We start from the raw sequence: 18,929 nt of genomic DNA, 5'->3' as shown, positions 1-18,929 counted from the left end.
TGCCTGGCCTGGGATTGTTATTTCTAAATGATTCCAGCTTTTTTTTTTTTTTTGTCTCAGCTGAGGCACAGCGGTGGAACTTGTCGTCTTATCATTGACTTGTTATGTTCATGAAGGACTTGGAAAACCAACGCTGATCCTCAGAGTAACAGCATAGATCCTCACAAGACAGTCTATGAAGCTGGAGCCCCCTGGGTTGTAAAATGCCTCCGCACCCCGTCTCTGTTTCTGAAGAAGGAAGCTCTGCTGAGCAGCTAAACATGACGTGCTTGTTAAGTGTGCATTGGTTAAAGAACAGATGAAGGTACAGGCTCAGTCTCCAAAACTTCATTATACAATCTCACAGATGAGTAGCACCGTTCAGCATTGAGTGACACCTACTTTCCCGTCTCCAGGTGGTTAGATATCATCATCTCCAATTTAAGGCCCATCTAAGAGGTGCACCTTTTCTCGATCCTGAGGCTCAAGTGTCTAAACAGCAACTGTAAATTTTCTCCAATCAGTGTTTCTCCCCTGTGTGGAAATAAATTCGCATCCTTGAAGTTCAGCTCTCTCCTTCATTTTACAAAAAAACAAAAAACAAAAAAACTTGTTTTAAGCAAGATTAAAAGTGAATTTTCTATTAGCAGTAATTTTATATCACTCCCTGTCTTGCTTCTTTTGCACTCACTGAATTGAAGAGAACGATATGAAATTGCCTGGAAATAAAAATGAAAGTGCTTCTCAGAGCCAAACAACACTACTCGTGTGAAAGAATATAGAATGAAAGTTTGAAGTGTCCATCAGTCCTGAACCTGGGATGATCCTGTCCTGATATCCTTAACGAGAATGCATCTACCAAGACCCTATTCGCAAATCAGTTCACATTCACGGTGTTTGGGGGTTAGGACTTGGGCATGTCATTACGGGAAATAGCTTTGTTGGCTTTTCTGGTTTTACATAGAAAGAGCAATAAAGGTCAGCCGCGGTGGCTCACGCCTGTAATCCCAGCACTTTGGGAGGCCGAGGTGGGTGGATCATGATGTCAGGAGTTCAAGACCAGCCTGGCCAACATGGCGAAACCCCATTTCTAATGCAAGCAGGGCTTAAAACCTAGATGACGGGTTGATGGGTGCAGGAAACCAGCATGGCACATGTATACCTATGTAACAAACCTGCATGTTCTGCATATGTATCTTGCAACTTAAAGTAAAATAAATCTATCTATCTATATCTATCTATCTATCTTAGGGCTGCTGTAATAAACGACCACACACTTGGAAGTCTTAAAGCCACAACAAGTTTATTCTTTTCCAGTCCTGGAGACCAGAAGTCTGAAATAACGATGTGGGCAGTACTGTGCTTCCTCTGGAGGCTCACTTGAACCTGGGAGGCAGAGGTTGCAGTGAGCCAAGATCATGCCTTTGCACTCCAGCCTGGGCAACAACAGCAAAACTCCGTCTCAAAAAAAAAAAACAAAACAAAAAACAAAATACCGTGAATATGTTCTCTAAATTAATCTCACAGCATGGGAGAAGGTGAACAGGATACCCCAGTACTGATGACAAGTATTATGGGATGGAAAAGAGAACTGGCATTCTTCTTTGCTGGCAACACAACCTGTTTTTGTTGATGTGAAGGCAGTTAACCTTGTTGCTAGATAAATGTTACTGCAGATGTCTGACGTAATGAGAATGCGTTATCCACAGCAAAATGCTTTTGAAAAAGAAACTGCAGGGAACTTCACAGTGAGTGACTAAGACTCACTACTGCAGTCTGGCGTGGTGGCTCACGCCTGTAATCCCAGCATTCTGGGAGGGTGAGGCAGGCGGATCATGAGGTCAGTAGATCGAGACCATCCTGGGCAACAGGGTGAAACCCCGTCTCTACTAAAAGTACAAAAAAACTAGCTGGGCATGGTGGCGGGCGCCTGTAGTCCCAGCTACTTGGGAGGCTGAGGCAGGAGAATGGCTTGAAATTGAGAGGCGGAGGTTGCAGTGAGCCGAGATCACGCCACTGCACTCCCTGGTACCAGAGCAAGACTCTGTCTCAACGACAACAAAAAAACAAAAACAAAAACAAAAGCATGATATTAAAGACACTGTGCTCCATGACTCAGAAGTTGAAAGAGCTACTTTGAATCTGCAAATGATACCTCCATGGATGTCGCCTAAGTTCATGAAAGATGGAAGCATAGTGACAGTAACAATAATTTAAGAAGGTTTGAAAGGAAAATCTTGGGGTCCCCAAATCACTAAGCTCAAGGGAAAAGTCAAGCTGGGAACTTCTCAGAGCAAACTTGCCTCCCGTTTTATTCAAAGTTACTCCTGGCCAGGTGCGGTGGCTCACGCCTGTAATCCCAGCACTTTGGGAGGCCAGGGCAGGCAGAACACGAGGTAAAGAGATCAAGACCATCCTGGCCTATATGATGAAGCCCCATCTCTACTAAAAATATTTTAAAAACTAGCTGGGCATGGTGGCGGGCACCTGTAGTCCCGGCTACTCGGGAGGCTGAGGCAGGAGAATGGCTTGAACCTGGGAGGCTGAGGTTGCAGTGAGCCGAGGTCGCGCCACTGCACTCCAGCCTGGTGCCAGAGCAATACTCTGTCTAAACACACACACACACACACCCCAAAAAAATAATGAATGCAACCATTTGTCTCTTATCCACCTATGACCTGGAAGCCCCCTCCCCACTTCGAGTCGTCCCCGTGTTTCTGGATGGAACCAGTGTACCTCTCAACATATATTGATTGATGTCTCATGTCTGCCTAAAATGTATAAAACCAGCGTGTGCCCTGACCACCTTGGGAACATGTCGTCAGGACCACCTGAGGCTGTGTCATGGGTGCGTCCTCAACTGTGGCAAAATAAATTTTTCTTTTTTTTTTTTTTTGAGATGGAGTCCTACTCTGTTGTCCAGGCTGGAGTGCAGTGGTACGATCTCGGCTCACTGCAACCTCCACCTCCCTGGTTCCAGCGATTCCCCTGCCTCAGCCTCCTCAATAGCTGGGATTACAGGTGCCCGCCACCATGTCCAGCTAAAGTTTTTTTTGCATTTTTAGTAGAGACGGAGTTTCACCATGTTGGCCAGACTTGTCTTGAGCTCCTGACCTCAGACAATCCGCCCGCCTCGACCTCCCAAAGTGCTGGGATTACAGGCGTGAGCCACCACGCCCGGACTTAACTTTCTAAATTAACTGACACCATCTCAGATATTCAGGGTTCACAAAGGCTTGGAGGGGCCTGCAAATATATACAATTATAGAATTAAATAGTGATGGATAGAGTCCCTTATTCAAAAATACTGTTATAAATTAAGTTAAAATATTAAAGTCAAAGAAACTTCACACCCATAATCGCAATGCTTTCAGAAGATGGAGGATTATTTTGAGCTCAGGACTTTGAGAGCAGCTTGGGCAACACAGCAAGATGCCATTTCTACAAAAATTTTTCAAAAATAGCTGGGCATGGTGGTGTGTACATGTGGTCCCAGCTACTGGGGAGGTTGAGGCGGGAGGATCACTTGAGCCCAGGAGTTTGAGGCTGCAGTGAGATGTGCTCAAATCACTGCACTCCAGCCTGGCTGAGAGACCAAGACCTTATCTCTTAAAGAAAGAAAATAGGCGGCTGGGTCCGGTGACTCACGCCTGTAATCCCAGCCAGGGCACGCGAATCACCTGAGGTCAGGAGTTCGAGACCAGTCTAGCGAACATGGTGAAACTCCGTCTCTACTAAAAATACCAATATTAGCCAGGCATGGTGGCAGGTGCCTAGAATTCCAGCTACTTGGGAGGCTAAGGCAGGGAGAATCACTTGAACCTAGGAGGTGGAGGTTGCAGTGAGCCAAGATCATGCCATTGCACTCCAGCCTGGGTGACAGAGTAAGACTGTGTCTCAAAAAAAAAAAGCATACTTTTGAGTTAAAACAACAGAATTACCATTCAACCCAGCAACCATTCCTGGGTACATACCTAAAGAAATACCAATTATTCTACCGTAAAGACACTTTTGCACATGAATGTTCATTGCAGCATTATTTGCAATAGCAAAGACATGGGAATTAAGCTAGATACCCATCAGTGGTAGACTGGGTAAAGAAAATGTGGTACATGTACGTCGTGGAATACTGTGCAGCTGTAAAAAAGAACAAGATCTTATTATTTTTTGCAGGAACATGGATGGAGCTGGAGATCATTGTCCTTAGCAAACTAATACAAGAACATAAAAGCAAATATCGCATGTTCTCACTTATAATTGGAAGTTCAACATTGAGTAAAGGTGGCCTCAAAGAAAGGAACAACAGACATTGGGGTCTGCTTGAGGGTGAAGGGTGGGAGGAGAGGGAGGATTAAAAAGCTGCCTATTGGCCGGGCGCAGTGGCTCACACCTGTAATCCCAGCACTTTGGGAGGCCGAGGTGGGCAGATCACGAGGTCAGGAGTTCGAGACCAGCCTGGCCAAGATGGTGAAACCCTGTCTCTACTAAAAATACAAAAATTAGCCAGGCAGAGTAGCAGGCATCTGTAATCCCAGCTACTCGGGAGGCTGAGGCACAAGAATCACTTGAACCCATGAGGCGGAGGTTGCAGTGAGCCGGGATCGCACCATTGCACTCAAGCCTGGGCGGCAGAGTGGCACTCTGTCTCTACTGCATATCAGATATTGTGCTGATTATGTGGGTGACAAAATAATCTGTACACCAAACTCCCATGTCACGTAATTTGCCTGTGCAACAAACCTGCACATGGACTCCTCCCGAATCTAACATACAAGTTTAAAAAAATACATGTTTGTACAGCTGCACCACGTGTGTATGTGTTTTAAGCTATGTGTTATGATGACTCAAAAACGTTCAAAAAATTAAAAGGTGTTAAAGTTATAAAAAAGAATAAAATGCATCACACTTTTCAAATCATGAAATACCTTTTTTTACCCATCGTGAATGTAAACATTGACACCAATGGGAAGCTTGAGTATTGTGTCCATTTTACAGGGCAAGAAAACAGGGGAATGGGTAAATAGCAAAACGAGCAAAGAAATGAGTAGGCAAAGGCCCATCACCTATTTCTTTGTGGATGTCTTTGTTGAACTTTTTTTCAACAAAATGAAACCAAGCCCCCTGATTGTTAGTTACCTCACGCCCATAGTCTTGGCCAGTGAGTCTTTTCGTAAAATGGTACTCACCGCAGAGTACATTCTGAATACACGTTAGACAACGATGACCAGGAAAATTCCTGAGTTTTTGATCGATCACATTCCTGGCCAAATCAGATGGATATTTAAGACCTCAGTGTGCCCTTTGCAATCTTGCAACTCCTGCTTTGGTTCTCTGGAAGAAATCTTCTTGTCGAAGATTCTTACTAAAACTCAATGGGTTAAAATGCAAAGATCTTATTTGTTGCATAGAATCAAGACTCTGGGTCAATACCTGGCAGAGTGACTGGAGGCTGCATTGGGGTGGACTGTTTTTAGACGGCAGGTCAGGCCCCAGAGAGAGGTAGTTGGGTGGGAAACATAAGTCCTATTTCTAATGCACAGTTGTTGTGCCTCCTCTGGATATCCAAATGTTTGGCACAATCTGTTTTCCTAGAATCCCAGCTGACATAGAGCAGCTAATGCTCACATACTGTCATCCAGCCAGTGGCTCATTTAGCCAATTAACACGCTGATTTCAAAAGCATTGTGAAAATATCACTGCACACACTAACTAGCTTCTGACCATCCCTTCCCTTCCCTTCCTGGCATATTTCTCCAGCGTAATCTCTGCTCATAGCCTTTCTTACGAGCTACCCACACCCTTGAGCTTCACAGGACCCATTCAGTCTGTTTGTGTTTTCTCCCCGACCTTTCAGCAATGTCACCATGATCTTTTCAAGAATCTTTTTCTTTGCTTCTCCTGACAAATGCATCATCCTTCTGAGCAATAAACAGAGGAATTGGCAAAGTTAATAATGTCGTTATTGAGCACTTAGTGAATGGTGAGCATTATGCTAAGACTGTTTTGTGGTGTATCCATACACCATTCCAACGATATATATTTTTTAATTTAAGCATACTTTATTGGTAAACAATACTAACAATTATCTGAACATTTCGCGAGTCAAAACCTTATTGCTGGTGGAGAGTCTTGCCTCAATGTTGCTGGCTGTGGACTGATCAGGGTGGTGGTTGCTGAGGGTAGAGGGTGCTTTGGCAATTTCTTAAAATAGACAACAGTGATGTTTGTCACATCAGTTGACCCTTTCTGTCATGAAAGATTTTTCTGTATCAAGCGATGCTGTTTGATAGGGTTTTACCCAGAGTAGAACTTTTTTCAAAATTCGAGTCAGGGCCGGGCGTGGTGGCTCACGCCTGTAATCCCAGCACTTTGAGAGGCCAAGGCAGGTGGATCACCTGAGGTCAGGAGTTTGAGACCAGTCTGACCAACATGGTGAAACCCCATCTCTACTAAAACTACAAAAAAATTAGCTGGGCATGGTGGCGGGCACCTGTAATCCCAGCTACTCGGCAGGCTGAGGCAGGAGAATCGCTTGAACCTGGGAGGTGGAGGTTGCAGTGAGCCAAGATCGCGCTATGGCACTCCAGCCTGGGCAACAAGAGCAAAACTCCGTCTCAAAAAAAAAAAAAAAAAAAAAAAAAAAACCAAAAAACCTTCCTGAAAGGATTCCTCATTCTGAATGCCATTTAGAACCTTGGTGATTCATGGCAGGAAGTTAAGATATCCACATTAACAGAAATCGGGAAAAAGTGAATTCCAATATTCATGAATGACATTGAGGGGGTTCAAGACTTCAGTGGAGGAAGTCACTTCTGCTATGGTGAAAATAGCAGAAGTAAAGGTGCAGGTTGAAGATGGGGCTGAACTCCTGTAATCTCATGATAAAACTGGAATGGAAGAGGAGTTTCTTCTCATGAAGGAGCAGAGAAAATGGTTTCTTGAGATAGATACTATTCTTGGGCCCATTTCACTGATGAGAAAACTGAGGCCTCTCCAGGTTGAAGGGTACAACTACCAAGTGTGGGAGTCTGGGCTCTACCCCATTACTGGACATCTCCAGAGCCTGTTCTCCCTTCTGCTAAGTTTGCGGGTCGCTCAACATTGTCTCCTTGGACGTGTGATAAGTCTTCCTGCTCCTCCTTCATCAGTCTTTAACATTTGAGAGACATTTAGAGTGGCCTGGACCAGGCTCTTTGCTCATTCTCTTTTCTTCTACTGAGGCCTCTTTCACAAGTAGGTTTTCTCATCTCTCTCTTCTTTCATTTATTCTCTCCTTCATTCTCTCTTTCTCATTCTCTTATTCTCTCTCCCTGTCTTCTTTCCTCTTCTCTTCCCTCCTCTTCCCCTCCTACTTCTTCCTTCCCCTCCTTCTCCTGCCCCTCATCTCCTCCTACTTCTCCTCCTCCTTCTCCTTCTTCTCCTTCATCTTCTTTCGTTTCTTCTCCTTCCCTTTCTCTCCTCCTCCTTCTCCTTCTCCCTTTCCTTCCCTTCCCCTCTCTTCCCCTCCCCTTCCCTCCCCTCCCCTCCCTTCCCTTCCCTTTTCTTTTCTTTTTTTTTTTCTTTCACGGAGTCTCACTCTGTTGCCAGGCTGGAGTGCCGTGGCGCGATCTCAGCTCACTGCAACCTCTGCCTCCCCGGTTCAAGCGATTCTTCTGCCTCAGCCTCCTGAGTAGCTGGGATTACAGGCATGCACCACCCTGCCCAGCTAATTTTTGTATTTTTAGTAGAGATGGGGTTTCACCATGTTGGCCAGGATGATCTCAGTCTCCTGACCTCGTGATCCACCTGCCTCAGCCTCCCAAAGTGCTAGGATTACAGGCATGAGACACCGCACCTGGCCCCTTCTACTTTTTTTTTCCCTTCTCCTTCACCTCCTCTTCCCCCTCCTCCTGCTTCTCCTCCTCCTCTTTCACCTCCTCCTCCTTCCTTTCTCCTCCTCCTCCTTCCTTTCTCTCTGTCTCTCTCTCTCTCTCTCTCTCCCTCCCTCCCCCCCCCCCCCCCCCCCCCGCCGTCTCTCTGCTTCTCTCTCATTCACTCTCATTGACGTCCATATCCAAATTTTTGGAATCGCAGTGCTGCCCTCTTAGTTCTTTGTCATGAACCATCTGTTGCCCTTGGATTGTTTTACCTTTTGTATCCTTGGCAGCTTGACATACCCATGGTCTAAGCAAGAGTGTTTTCTCTGAAAGTGCAGGCATGAGCTGATACTTGTGTGTTTCATCCATTATCAGCACTGTTTTATGCATGTAAGGAGGGTGTGTGGCATTTGCTTCGTGGGTTGTAGGAAGGGACACCCAGGAAACAAACAACTAAAGTGAAGCTTTCCTGCGGGCTAGGATTTGAAGGTCATACTAATGTCCTTCGAGAGAGTTAATGTCAAGAATTGGTGTGACCAAACAGTGGTGGATGTCATAGTGTTTTCCTCTTTTCATAGGTTCACTTTTCAAATGAGACAGTAGCCATGAGGGACCATCCATGCAGGCTGAGACTAGTCTTCAGGAAAATATCTATGCCTAGTAGTTTCAGAAAGGTTAGGGTTGCATAGATGTACCCACCTGTCCATCCTGATCCTTACTCTAAATTCGACCTCTTCTATCATTGCTTTCACCATCACTGTCTTGTTGGTGATGGGCCCAGCTTCGAGAAACTCAGATCTGCCTCAGTGCTGCTGGAGCTGGAGAGCTGGAAGAAAACCAATATGGCGTTTGAACCGCACAATCCAAAAGTATTGTAGCAGCACTGATTCATAGGTTCCTTCTCAGTAGAACCTCTTTTGAATTCCTCCAAACAAAGCCTTCTATTTGAGCCATGGCCCTTGAGTAGACCGATGTCATGGACTATTAGAGTATGCTATTGGTGCTCCAGCTACCCATGGCCAACCACCAGGCATTACTTAGGTAGAGCCCCACTGCCTGGCCTATGCACCAGGCATCAACATGAGGTTTCATAAATACCTGGGAGTACAAGTGCAGAATCTCTGTTGAAAGAATGCAATACTCTTTTTATTTCTTCACCGAATAATTAAATAATTTTTATTTCTTCATTAAAGGGCAATTGAAGAGAAGACAACATGTCTCTCTTAGTAGGTACCATCCCCGAGTAGAACTCATCCTCCTCTGTGCAAAGATTCCCATTGTTCAGATCACTCTAATGCTTTGAGGAAAACCTCCCCACAGTGTAACATACAGAACACTCTTCCGGGGGTTATGGCAGATGCTGGAGTCTCTTCTACCACCACCTAAAGATGCTGGGGTACTCTGCAACACCACCTGAGGAAAGGAACAGGATGAAACACCTGTTGTATTAGTCACCTAGGGCTGCCATGACAAAATACTACAGGCTGGGCCGCTTAAACAGCAGACTTTTATTTTCCCACAGTTCTGAAGGCTGGAAGTCTGTGAGATCAAAGTGTGGGCAGGGCTGGTTCTTCCTGAGGCCTCTCTGCTGGGCTTGTAGACACCGTCTTCTCCCTGTGTCCTCATAGGGTCGCCCCTCTGTGTGTGTCTGTGTCCTCATCTCCTCTTATGAGGTGTCTTAGTCCATCTCAGGCTGCTATCACAGAATACCATAGACTGGGTGACTTATAAACAACAGACATTGATTCTCTCACAGTCCTGGAGGCTGGAAGTCTGAGATCCAGGTATGGGCAGGGCTGGTTCCTCCTGAGGCCTCTCTCCTGGGCTTGGAGACGCCATCTTCTCCCTGTGTCCTCACAGGGTTGTCCCAATGTGTGTGTCTGTGTCCTCATCTCCTTTTCTTATGAGGTGTCTTAGTCCATTTCAGGCTGCTATCACAGAATACCATAGACTGGGTGGCTTGTAAACAACAGACGTTTATTCTCCCACAATCCTGGAGGCTGTAAGTCCAAGATCAAGGTGTAGGCAGGGCTGGTTCCTCCTGAGGCCTCTCTTGTAGGCTTGTAGATGCCATCTTCTCACTGTGTCCTCGCAGGGTCGTCACTCTGTGTGTCTGTGTCCTCATCTCCTCCTCTTTTTTTTTTTGAGACGGAGTCTCGCTCTGTCGCCCAGGCTGGAGTGCAGTGGCGGGATCTCGGCTCACTGCAAGCTCCACCTCCCAGGTTCAAGCGATTTTCCTGCCTCAGCCTCCCAAGTAGCTGGAACTACAGGTGCGTGCCACCATGCCTAGCTAATTTTTTCTATTTTTAGTAGAGATGGAGTTTCACCGTGTTAGCCAGGATGGTCTCGATCACCTGACCTCGTGATCCACCCACCTCAGCCTCCCAAAGTACTGGGATTACAGGCGTGAGCCACCACACCCGGCCTCATCTCCTCTTCTTATAAGCATCCCAGTCTTCTCGGATTAGGGGCCTCCCTGGTGACTTTGTTTTACCTTAATCACCTCTTTAAAGACTATCTCCAAATATGGTGACATTCTGAGGTCCTGGGCGTTAGGGCTTTAACATAGGGATTTGGGAGAAGGAATCAGCCCATCACAGCTGTGCATTCTAAGACTCCAGTGACTTTGTGCTGACAATGGCTTTTCCTTGGGTAGCTCTAACCAGATGGTCTGGCTGGGTCTATCTTGAGTCTAGTGACTCCCACCACGAGGCCAACTGAGCAGGGTGGCCAGGAAAGCCTGTGGCCTTACAACAAGGTGATGCTCACCTGCAGCACACAGGCCATCACTGTAGCTCTGCTGGCTTTATTCTTGGGTTTATAGTGATGGCTTCTTTCTGCCTCTGCCTCCCTTGAGGCATCTCGTTTCTGTGGTTGGAGTACTGTGAGCCTAAGAGACAGAGAGCATGTCCACAGTCAGGCTTCCCTTACTTGCTTCAGTAGCATCTCATGAGTGTTTCCAATGCATTCAGGGAGACTCTTCTTCACTGAAGGAGTCAGATCCATTTTGCAGCTTTGCTGCTTGGAACCTTGATGGAATGGCTGAGTACATGGCCGCCAGCGTCACTCATGCACGAAAAGTGTTGTTGAAAGCTAATAGAAACTGAAATCTGGTCGGGCACGGTGGCTCACGCCTGTAATCCCAGCACCTTGGGAGGCTGAGGCGGGTGGATCACCTGAGGTCAGGAGTGCGAGACCAGCCTGGCCAACATGGCGAAACCCCATCTCTACTAAAAATACGAAAAATTAGCCGGGCATGGTGGCAGGCACCTGTCATCCCAGCTACTCAGGAGGCTGAGGCAGGAGAATCGCTTGAACCCTGGAGGTGGAGGTTTCAGTGAGCCGAGATTGCGCCATTATACTCCAGCTTGGGCAACAAGAGTGAAAATCTGCCTGGAAAGAAAAAAAAAAAAAAGAAAAACTGAAATAGAAGATTTCCCTTCCCCCAGTTCACTTTGACTGCGCTAAAGTAATTTCCTTTGAGGGCAGAGAGGACACGGATTGCTTTGGGCATACTTCAAAATGCTACTGTCTCCCTAGGAATATTGCAAAGTGGTTACTTTCCCCCAATAACACACAACTGGATATTTCTTTGATCTTCACCCTGGGAACCTGGTGGAGCTCCCGGAGGTAAAATTTGTGAAAGTACAAGGTCCCCTCTAAGATGGGCCCCCAGAAGTTTTTCTGTTGTTGTTGTTTTTTGAGACAGAGTCTCGCTCTGTCACTCAGGCTGGAGTGCAGTGGTGCGATCTGGGCTCACTACAACCTCCACCTCCCAGGGTCAAGCAATTCTCCTGCCTCAGCCTCCCGAGTAGCTGGGATTACAGGTGCCTGCCACCACGCCCGGCTAATTTTTGTATTTTTAGTAGAGACGGGGTTTCACTATGTTGGCCAGGCTGGTCTCGAACTCCTGACCTCAGGTGATCTGCCCGCCTTGGCCTCCCAAAGTGCTGGGATTACAGGTGCGAGCCACCATGCCTGGCCAGGAGTTTTTAACTTACTTAGGCTTGTCCACTGTCAGCCTGCAGCTGTTTAATAATTACCCTGCAAATGTGTCCATCAGGTGCTGGCTCCAGCAGGAACTCCTAGACAAGCACAATTCCACTTGCCACCTGTCTGTCCAGTCTTCAGGCAGCATTTCGTCTTGTGATCTCTATTTTCTGATGGATCGCAGAGTTGCTGATTTTCAGTATGTTCTGCTCTTTGCCTATTGTGAGGATAGGAATTAAAATGCGCAAGCTCTCTACATGTTAGTGAAGTGGCTACGTTGTCTGGGGTATATACCCTGGGGTTCGTCATTGGGCATCAGGAAAATTTAGGACAAAGACACACACGAGGAGTTTAGGAGTGGAAGTTTAATCAGGAGAAGAGAAAGAGAAATGGTTTTCTCTATAGAGAAAGGGGTCTCCGAGCGGAAAGGACCAGCTGGCACCAAATGTGATGGATTTTATAGTCCAGTTTGAGGAGGCGGTGTCTCATTTACATAGAGCTCAGAGATTGGTTCCATCAAGCATGGCATTTACATAGCCCACAGGAAAGGCTGGTTGCCCACCCTAATCGTTTATGCAAATGGGCTTTGTAGTTGGTCGGGGCTCTCCGAGAGATTGGTTCCATCAAGCATGACATTTACATAGCCCACAGGAAAGGCTGGTTGCCCACCCTAATCGGTTATGCAAATGGGCTTTGTAGTTGGTCGGGGCTCTCGGTCCTGTTTTTCTTACTTTACATGTGGCTGACAAAGAGGAGGGAAGATGGAGCCACTGTCTTGAACGTGTCTAGTCTCTAGTTCCTGCTGGGAAGATGGAGCCGCCGTTTTGAATGTGTCTAGTCCCTAGTTCCTGCCGGGAAGATGGAACCGCCATCTTGAACGTGTCTAGTCCCTAGTTCCTGCCGGGAAGATGGAGCCGCCATCTTGAACGTGTCTAGTCCCTAGTTCCTGCCCGGAAGATGGAGCCGCCATCTTGAACGTGTCTAGTCGTTAGTTCCTCCCGGGAAGATGGAGCCGCCATCTTGAACGTGTCTAGTCCCTAGGTCCTCCCGACATTCACCCGTACAAGCTCCCAGCTGGCTTGTGTATGTCTGCAGCTCGACTTGACAGGCTGTTCATTGTTAGAAAATGACTTGGGGCTGCTTTTCGTTAAAGAGAAAAGCTGCCGGGCGCAGTGGCTCACACCTGTCATCCCAGCACTTTTGGAGGCTGAGGCGGGTGGATCATTAGGTCAGGGGTTCGAGACGAGCCTGACCAGTGAAACCGCGTCTCTACTAAAAAAAAAAAAAACAAAACAAAAATTAGCCGGGCTTGGTGGTGCGTACCTATAATGCCAGCTACTTAGGAGGCTGAGGCAGGCGAATTGCTTGAACCCGGGAGGCGGAGGTTGCAATGAGCGAACATCACGCCACTACACTCCAGCCTGGGCGACAGAGCGGGACTCCATCTCAAAAAAAAAAAAAAAAAGAAAAGAAAAAAGCCTTGCCGAGGACTCCCATACCCTTACTGTCTGCCTAAGTGATTTCTTCTTAACTCCTGTATCACTGGCAGACTCTGAGTTGCCTGTTGGGTGGAGTACTATATTGCCGAGTATCATGACTGTATTAGATGTGAGGGAGACAGTGTGAATAGGACATGGTCCCTGAAGAGCACAGAGCTTTCACCTGGGGCTGGGCGGAGCTTCTGTCCTATCCAGTGTTATGGAACCCTTGCAAGCACAGGTCAAGCAGCTCAAGGGCTGGAAGACGTGCACACAAAATCCAAGGGCAACGTTGGAAAGAGGTTTAGTGTTTCTTAGAAAAATGCCAGAAGGCTGAAGAAGTGGGGGCCCCGAGCAGCTCTGAAGGGTGTGTATGCAATTAAACTGAAGCCAAAGGCTGAGAGAGAGGAGTGAGAGCCGCCTACGGAGCTCTGTGCAGCTTCATCATAAACTCACAGACAGGCTTCATGCAGCGCCGTCTCAGTGCATTCAATGTTTGGATTCCACATGCATGCGTCCTCAACCCCCTTGCAATGCTGTTCTCCTTGGAGGGAAATGGGTCCTTCTTACCCTATCACATGCAGGTATCTGGTCTACCAGATAAATGTGTGAGAAATCACCAACAAAGCAGAAATTACTTTTAATTACAAAGCAGAGTCATCGTAAAACTTTGTGCAAAATCTTTTTTTTTTTTTTTTTCCAGACAGGGTCTCCATCTGTTACCCAGGCTGGAGTGCAGTGGTGTGATCATGGCTCACTGCAACTTCAACTTCCGAGGCTCAGGTGATCCTCACATCTCAGCCTCCCAAGTAGCTGGGATGACAGGTGTGCACCACCACACCCAGCTAATTTTTACTATCTGCTTAAGTCATTTCTTCTTAACCCCTGTATCATTAGAGGAGAAACCGGAAGCCCCTATTTTTGAAATTAGTAACCACCTATCACCTAAAATTCCTCTCATTACTGTGACGATAATGATGATTTTTTCGAGACCGGATCTCACTCTGTCACCCAGGCTGGAGTGCAGTGGTGTGACTGTGGCTCACGACAGCTTCAGCCTCCCGGGCTCGAGTGATCTTCCCACCACAGTGTCTAAAGTAGCTGGGGCTGTAGGTACGCATCATCATTCCCAGCTATGTATATATTTTAAATATTTTGTAGAGATGGGATCTTCCTCTGTTGCTCAGGCTGGTCTTAAACTCCTGGCCTCCAGCAGTCTTCTCACCTGGGCCTCTTAAAGTGCTGGGATTACAGGCGTGTACCACCGTGTCTGGCCAAAAAACATATCTATTCTGGGGTTCATAGTGATGCTTGTTTCTGCCTTGGCCTGTCTTGAGGCATCTCACTCCTGTAGTTGGAGTACTCTGAGTGTAACAGATGGAGAGTATGTCCACACCCACTCTTCCCTCACGTGTTTCTGTAGCATCCCGTAGGAGTTTTCAAATGCATTTGGAGATGTATTCACCCTGTGACAGATTCAATGCATCTCTACAAGGCAGAATAGCTCTACCATGGTGTGGCTATGGCGCTTGGCTACCTGAGTCTTTATTCTGCCTTCCAGGTGCTTGTTGGTTGGATAACTTTGGGTAGGTTCTTGTACCTCTTTGAGCTTCAAGACTGTCTTAGTCAGCTCTGGCTGTTGCAAGAAAATACAGTTGACCTTGATACAAAAATTAGCTGGGTGTGGCGCCTGTAATCCCAGATACTCAGGAGGCTGAGGCAGGAGAATCGCTTGAACCTGGGAGGCGGAGATTGCAGGGAGCCAAGATCACACCATTGCACTCCAGCCTGGGCGACAGAGCAAGATTCCATCTCAAAAACAACAACAACAACAACAAAAAACTAGAGTTGACCCTTGAACAATGTGGGAGTTAGGGGCGTCACACACGTCCCTGGCACAGTTGAAAATCCAAAGATAACTTTTGACTCACCCAAAACTTATGAATATCCTATTGTTGAGCAGAAGCCTTATCAATACCATAAAGTCGATTAACATATATTTTGTATGTTTTATGTATTGTATACTGTATTATTAAAGTATGCTAGAGAAAAGAAAATGCTGTTTGTTTTTTTTTAGCCGGGCGTGGTGGCGCACGCCTGTAATCCCAGCTACTCAGGAGGCTGAGGCAGGAGAATCGCCTTATAAGGAACTTTGAGAATCAAAAATCATAAGGAACTTTCATTCTTTTTTTTTTTTTTTTGAGATGGAGTTTCACTCTGTTGCCCTGGAGTCAGGCTGGAGTTCAGTGGTGTGATCTCTGCTCAGTACAGCCTACGCCTCCCACGTTCAAGTGATTCTCCTGCCTCAGCCTCCCGAGTAGCTGGCACTAAAGGTGCACGCCACCACGCCCAGCTAATTTTTGTATTTTTAGTAGAGACAGGGTTTCACCACGTTGGTCAGGCTGGTCTTGAACTCCTGACCTTAGGTGACCTACCCGCCTTGGCGTCCCAAAGTGTGGAGATTACAGGCTTGAGCCACCACGCCTGATAAGGAACTTTTATTCTAAGTGAAGTAACTCAGGGATGAAAAACCAACATCGTATGTTCTCAGTGTTACGTGGGAGCTAAGCTATGAGGACACAAAGGCATAAGAATGATAAAATGGAATTTGGGGTCTTGGGGGGGAAGAGTGGGAGGGGGGTGAGGGATAAACACTACAAATAGGGTGCAGTATATACTGTTCGGGTGATGGGTGTACCAAAATCTCACAGATCACCACTAAAGAACTTAGGTAACCAAATACCACCAGTACCCCAATCACTTATGGAAAGATAATTAAAAACAAAAAAGGACACCAAACTAAATTTTTAAAAATCATAGAGAAGAGAAAATATATTTACTATTTCTGAAGTGGGAGTGGATCGTCATGAAGGTCTTCATCCTTATCGTCTTCACCTTGAGTAGCCTAAGATGAGAGCGGACAGGAGGGATTGGTCTTGCTGGCTCCGGGGTGGCAGAGGTAGAAGAAAATGCCCGTAGAAGTGGACCCGTGCAATTCAAACCTGTGTTGTTTAAGGGTTAACTGGACCATAGATGGGGTGGCATAAATAACAGAAATTTATTTCTCTATAGTACTGGAGGCAGAAATGTTTACATCCAGGTGGCACCATGGTTGGGTACTTGAGAGGTTCCTCTTCTTGGTTTACAGATGGTCTCGCAGGGCAGAGAGAGAGGGGGGTGGAGCACGAGGGAGCATGTGTGCCCTGGTGTCTCTTCTTACAAGGGCACGAATCCCAACATAAGGATCCCACCTTCACGACCTGATGTAAACATCATCATCTCCCAAAGGCTCCGTCTCCAAATACCATCCCCTTTGGCATTAGGGTTTCCACACATGAGATTCGGGGTGACACCATTCATTCCATAGCAGGAGCCCTCCTTGGCAGACTGGGACACCAACGCCTCTTCCCTCTTGGGCTGACACGAGCTGTAAATGTCAGTGGACATTTAAATACTGCGTTACACATTCGATGTCCTGTCTGCAATGGAGCCGGGTTCTGTAAACATAAGCTGCCATGGCGAAATCGGATCATCATCGCCCATCAAGCTCTTTGGCAGCAGTGCTGTAATCAGTGCAAACATTTATTTATATAAATGCTCCCATCCCCTCGGCATGAAGATATACTTAGGCTCTCTCAATGGACAGCCACGCCACAAGCCCAGGAATGAGAGCTTGTCAGATACTGAGGCTGTTTTCAGAGCCAGTGTTCGGCTGAAGTGGCACAGAAGCTATCATTGTTTGCAAATCTCTGCTGCTTGTCAAGCCACAGGGTTAAGTAACCCCGGATGTTGCGAACACTCTGAAGTGCTGACCTGCAGTGTCTTTTTGGATCACTGAGCCCTCAGGCAGACAGGCTGTACGTGGACCGACACGTCATGGCTGCTGTCTTGCACTTAACCCTCTTTATCTTTAGACCTTGATTGTGCACCTGTTTCTCATTGGAAGCTAATGACAATCCACGAAGCGGCTTGGCAGTGACTGTCTCTGATTGTGTAAGGAGGGGTTGCCACATTCACCCATGTTGTTGACTTTCAACTGTACACTTGAAAACGTCAAAAGTCAGAGTAAGCATTGCCTCATGTCTCCGAGTGTAGCAATTCTAGGAAAACTCTTCCGAATGGGTTTAAAGTCAAACAAATCCAATCAAAACAGACTTGCAGGGCCAGGCACGGTGGCTCATGCCTGCAATCCCAGCACTTTGGGAAGCCAAGGTGGGCAGATCACTTGAGGTCAGGAGTTGGAGACCAACCTGGCCAACATGGCGAAACCCCGCCTCCACTAAAAATACAAAAAGTTAGCCAGGTGTAGTGGTGCGTGTCTGTAATCCCAGCTACTCAGGAGGATTAGGGAGGAGAATCTCTTGAACCTGGGAGGTGGAGGTTGCAGTGAGCTGAGATCACCCCACTGCAGTCCAGCCTGGGTGACAGAGCAAGATCCCATCTCAAAAAAAAAAAAAAGAAAAGAAAAGTCCACATAGGGAAATATGTGAAGCTCTTTGGGTCATATGATCGCTACCACAACAGCGCAATATGTAAATGAATGGGCAAGTTCTGTGTTCTAAGAATCTTGAGGGACACTGAGATGTAAATGTATATATTTATCACGTGGCACAAAATACAGTTGACCCGGCCGGGCACAGTGGCTCACAACTGTCATCCCAGCACTTTGGGAGGCCGAGGCGGGTGGATCACCTGAGGTCGGGAGTTCAAGACCAGCCTGACCAACATGGTGAAACCCGTCTCTACTAAAAATACAAAAAATTAGCTGGGAATGGTGGTGCGTGCCTGTAATCCCAGCTACTCATGACGCTGAGGCAGGAGAATCGCTTGAATTCGGGAGGTGGAGATTGCAGTGAGCTGAGATCACGCCATCGCACTCCAGCCTGGGCAACAAGAGGGAAACTCCACCTCGAAAAAATATGTATATACAGCTGACCCTTGAACAACACGGGGGTTAGGGGTACTGACCTCTATGCAGTTGAAAATCTATGTATAGGTTCTGACTCCCCCAAAAGTTAAATACTGGTAGTGTACTCTTGACCGGAAGCTTTATTCATAACATAGAGTCGATTAGTACATAGTTTGTATGTTATGTATATTATAAAGTCAGCTAGAAAAAAAATGCTAAGGAAGAGAAGAGAAAATATTTTACTACTTACTAAATGGAAGTAGATCATCATAAAGGTCTTCGTTCTCTTTTTTTTTTTTTTTTTTGAGATGGAGTCTCACTCTGTCACCGAGGCTGGAGTGCAGTGGCACGATCTCGGCTCACTGCAACCTCCGTCTCCTGGGTTCAAGCACTTCTTCTGCCTCAGCCTCCCAAGTAACTGGGATTACAGGCACACGCCACCACACCTGGCTAATTTTTGTATTTTTAGTAGAGACGGGGTTTCACCATATTGGCCAGGCTGGTCTTCAACTCCTGACCTCGTGATCTACCCGCCTCGGCCTCCCAAACTGCTGGGATTATAGGCGTGAGTCACTGCACTCTGCAGGAGTAGGGAGAGGAGGGGGAGGGGAGGAGGAGAAGGGAGGGGGGGAGGAGGGGGGACGAAGAGGGAGGAGGAGTCATCTCGGGTGAAAGTCCAAATGGGTGAATCTGCTCAGTTCAGATGTATGTTGTCCA

The 18,929-nt window shown here is 46.9% G+C and overlaps 1 protein-coding gene and 1 long non-coding RNA gene across 2 annotated transcripts in view; one reads left to right on the top strand and one right to left on the bottom strand.

Annotated features, from left to right (window-relative positions):
• The window catches only part of DHRSX (dehydrogenase/reductase X-linked), a 281,471-nt gene that overhangs the window by 162,917 nt on the left and 99,625 nt on the right, over positions 1 to 18,929 (top strand). The window lies entirely within an intron of this gene.
• On the bottom strand, positions 389 to 17,025 carry LOC124905239 (uncharacterized). Its single transcript, XR_007068382.1, has 3 exons — positions 16,144 to 17,025; positions 8,535 to 8,661; positions 389 to 555 (listed from the first exon to the last, which is right to left on the bottom strand). It is a non-coding gene; the product is annotated as an uncharacterized LOC124905239 (long non-coding RNA).

This window comes from Homo sapiens, chromosome X, assembly GCF_000001405.40.
Source record: "Homo sapiens chromosome X, GRCh38.p14 Primary Assembly".
In the NCBI taxonomy this organism is placed as follows: Eukaryota; Metazoa; Chordata; class Mammalia; order Primates; family Hominidae; genus Homo; species Homo sapiens.
This window is presented reverse-complemented; position numbering and strand designations above follow the sequence as displayed.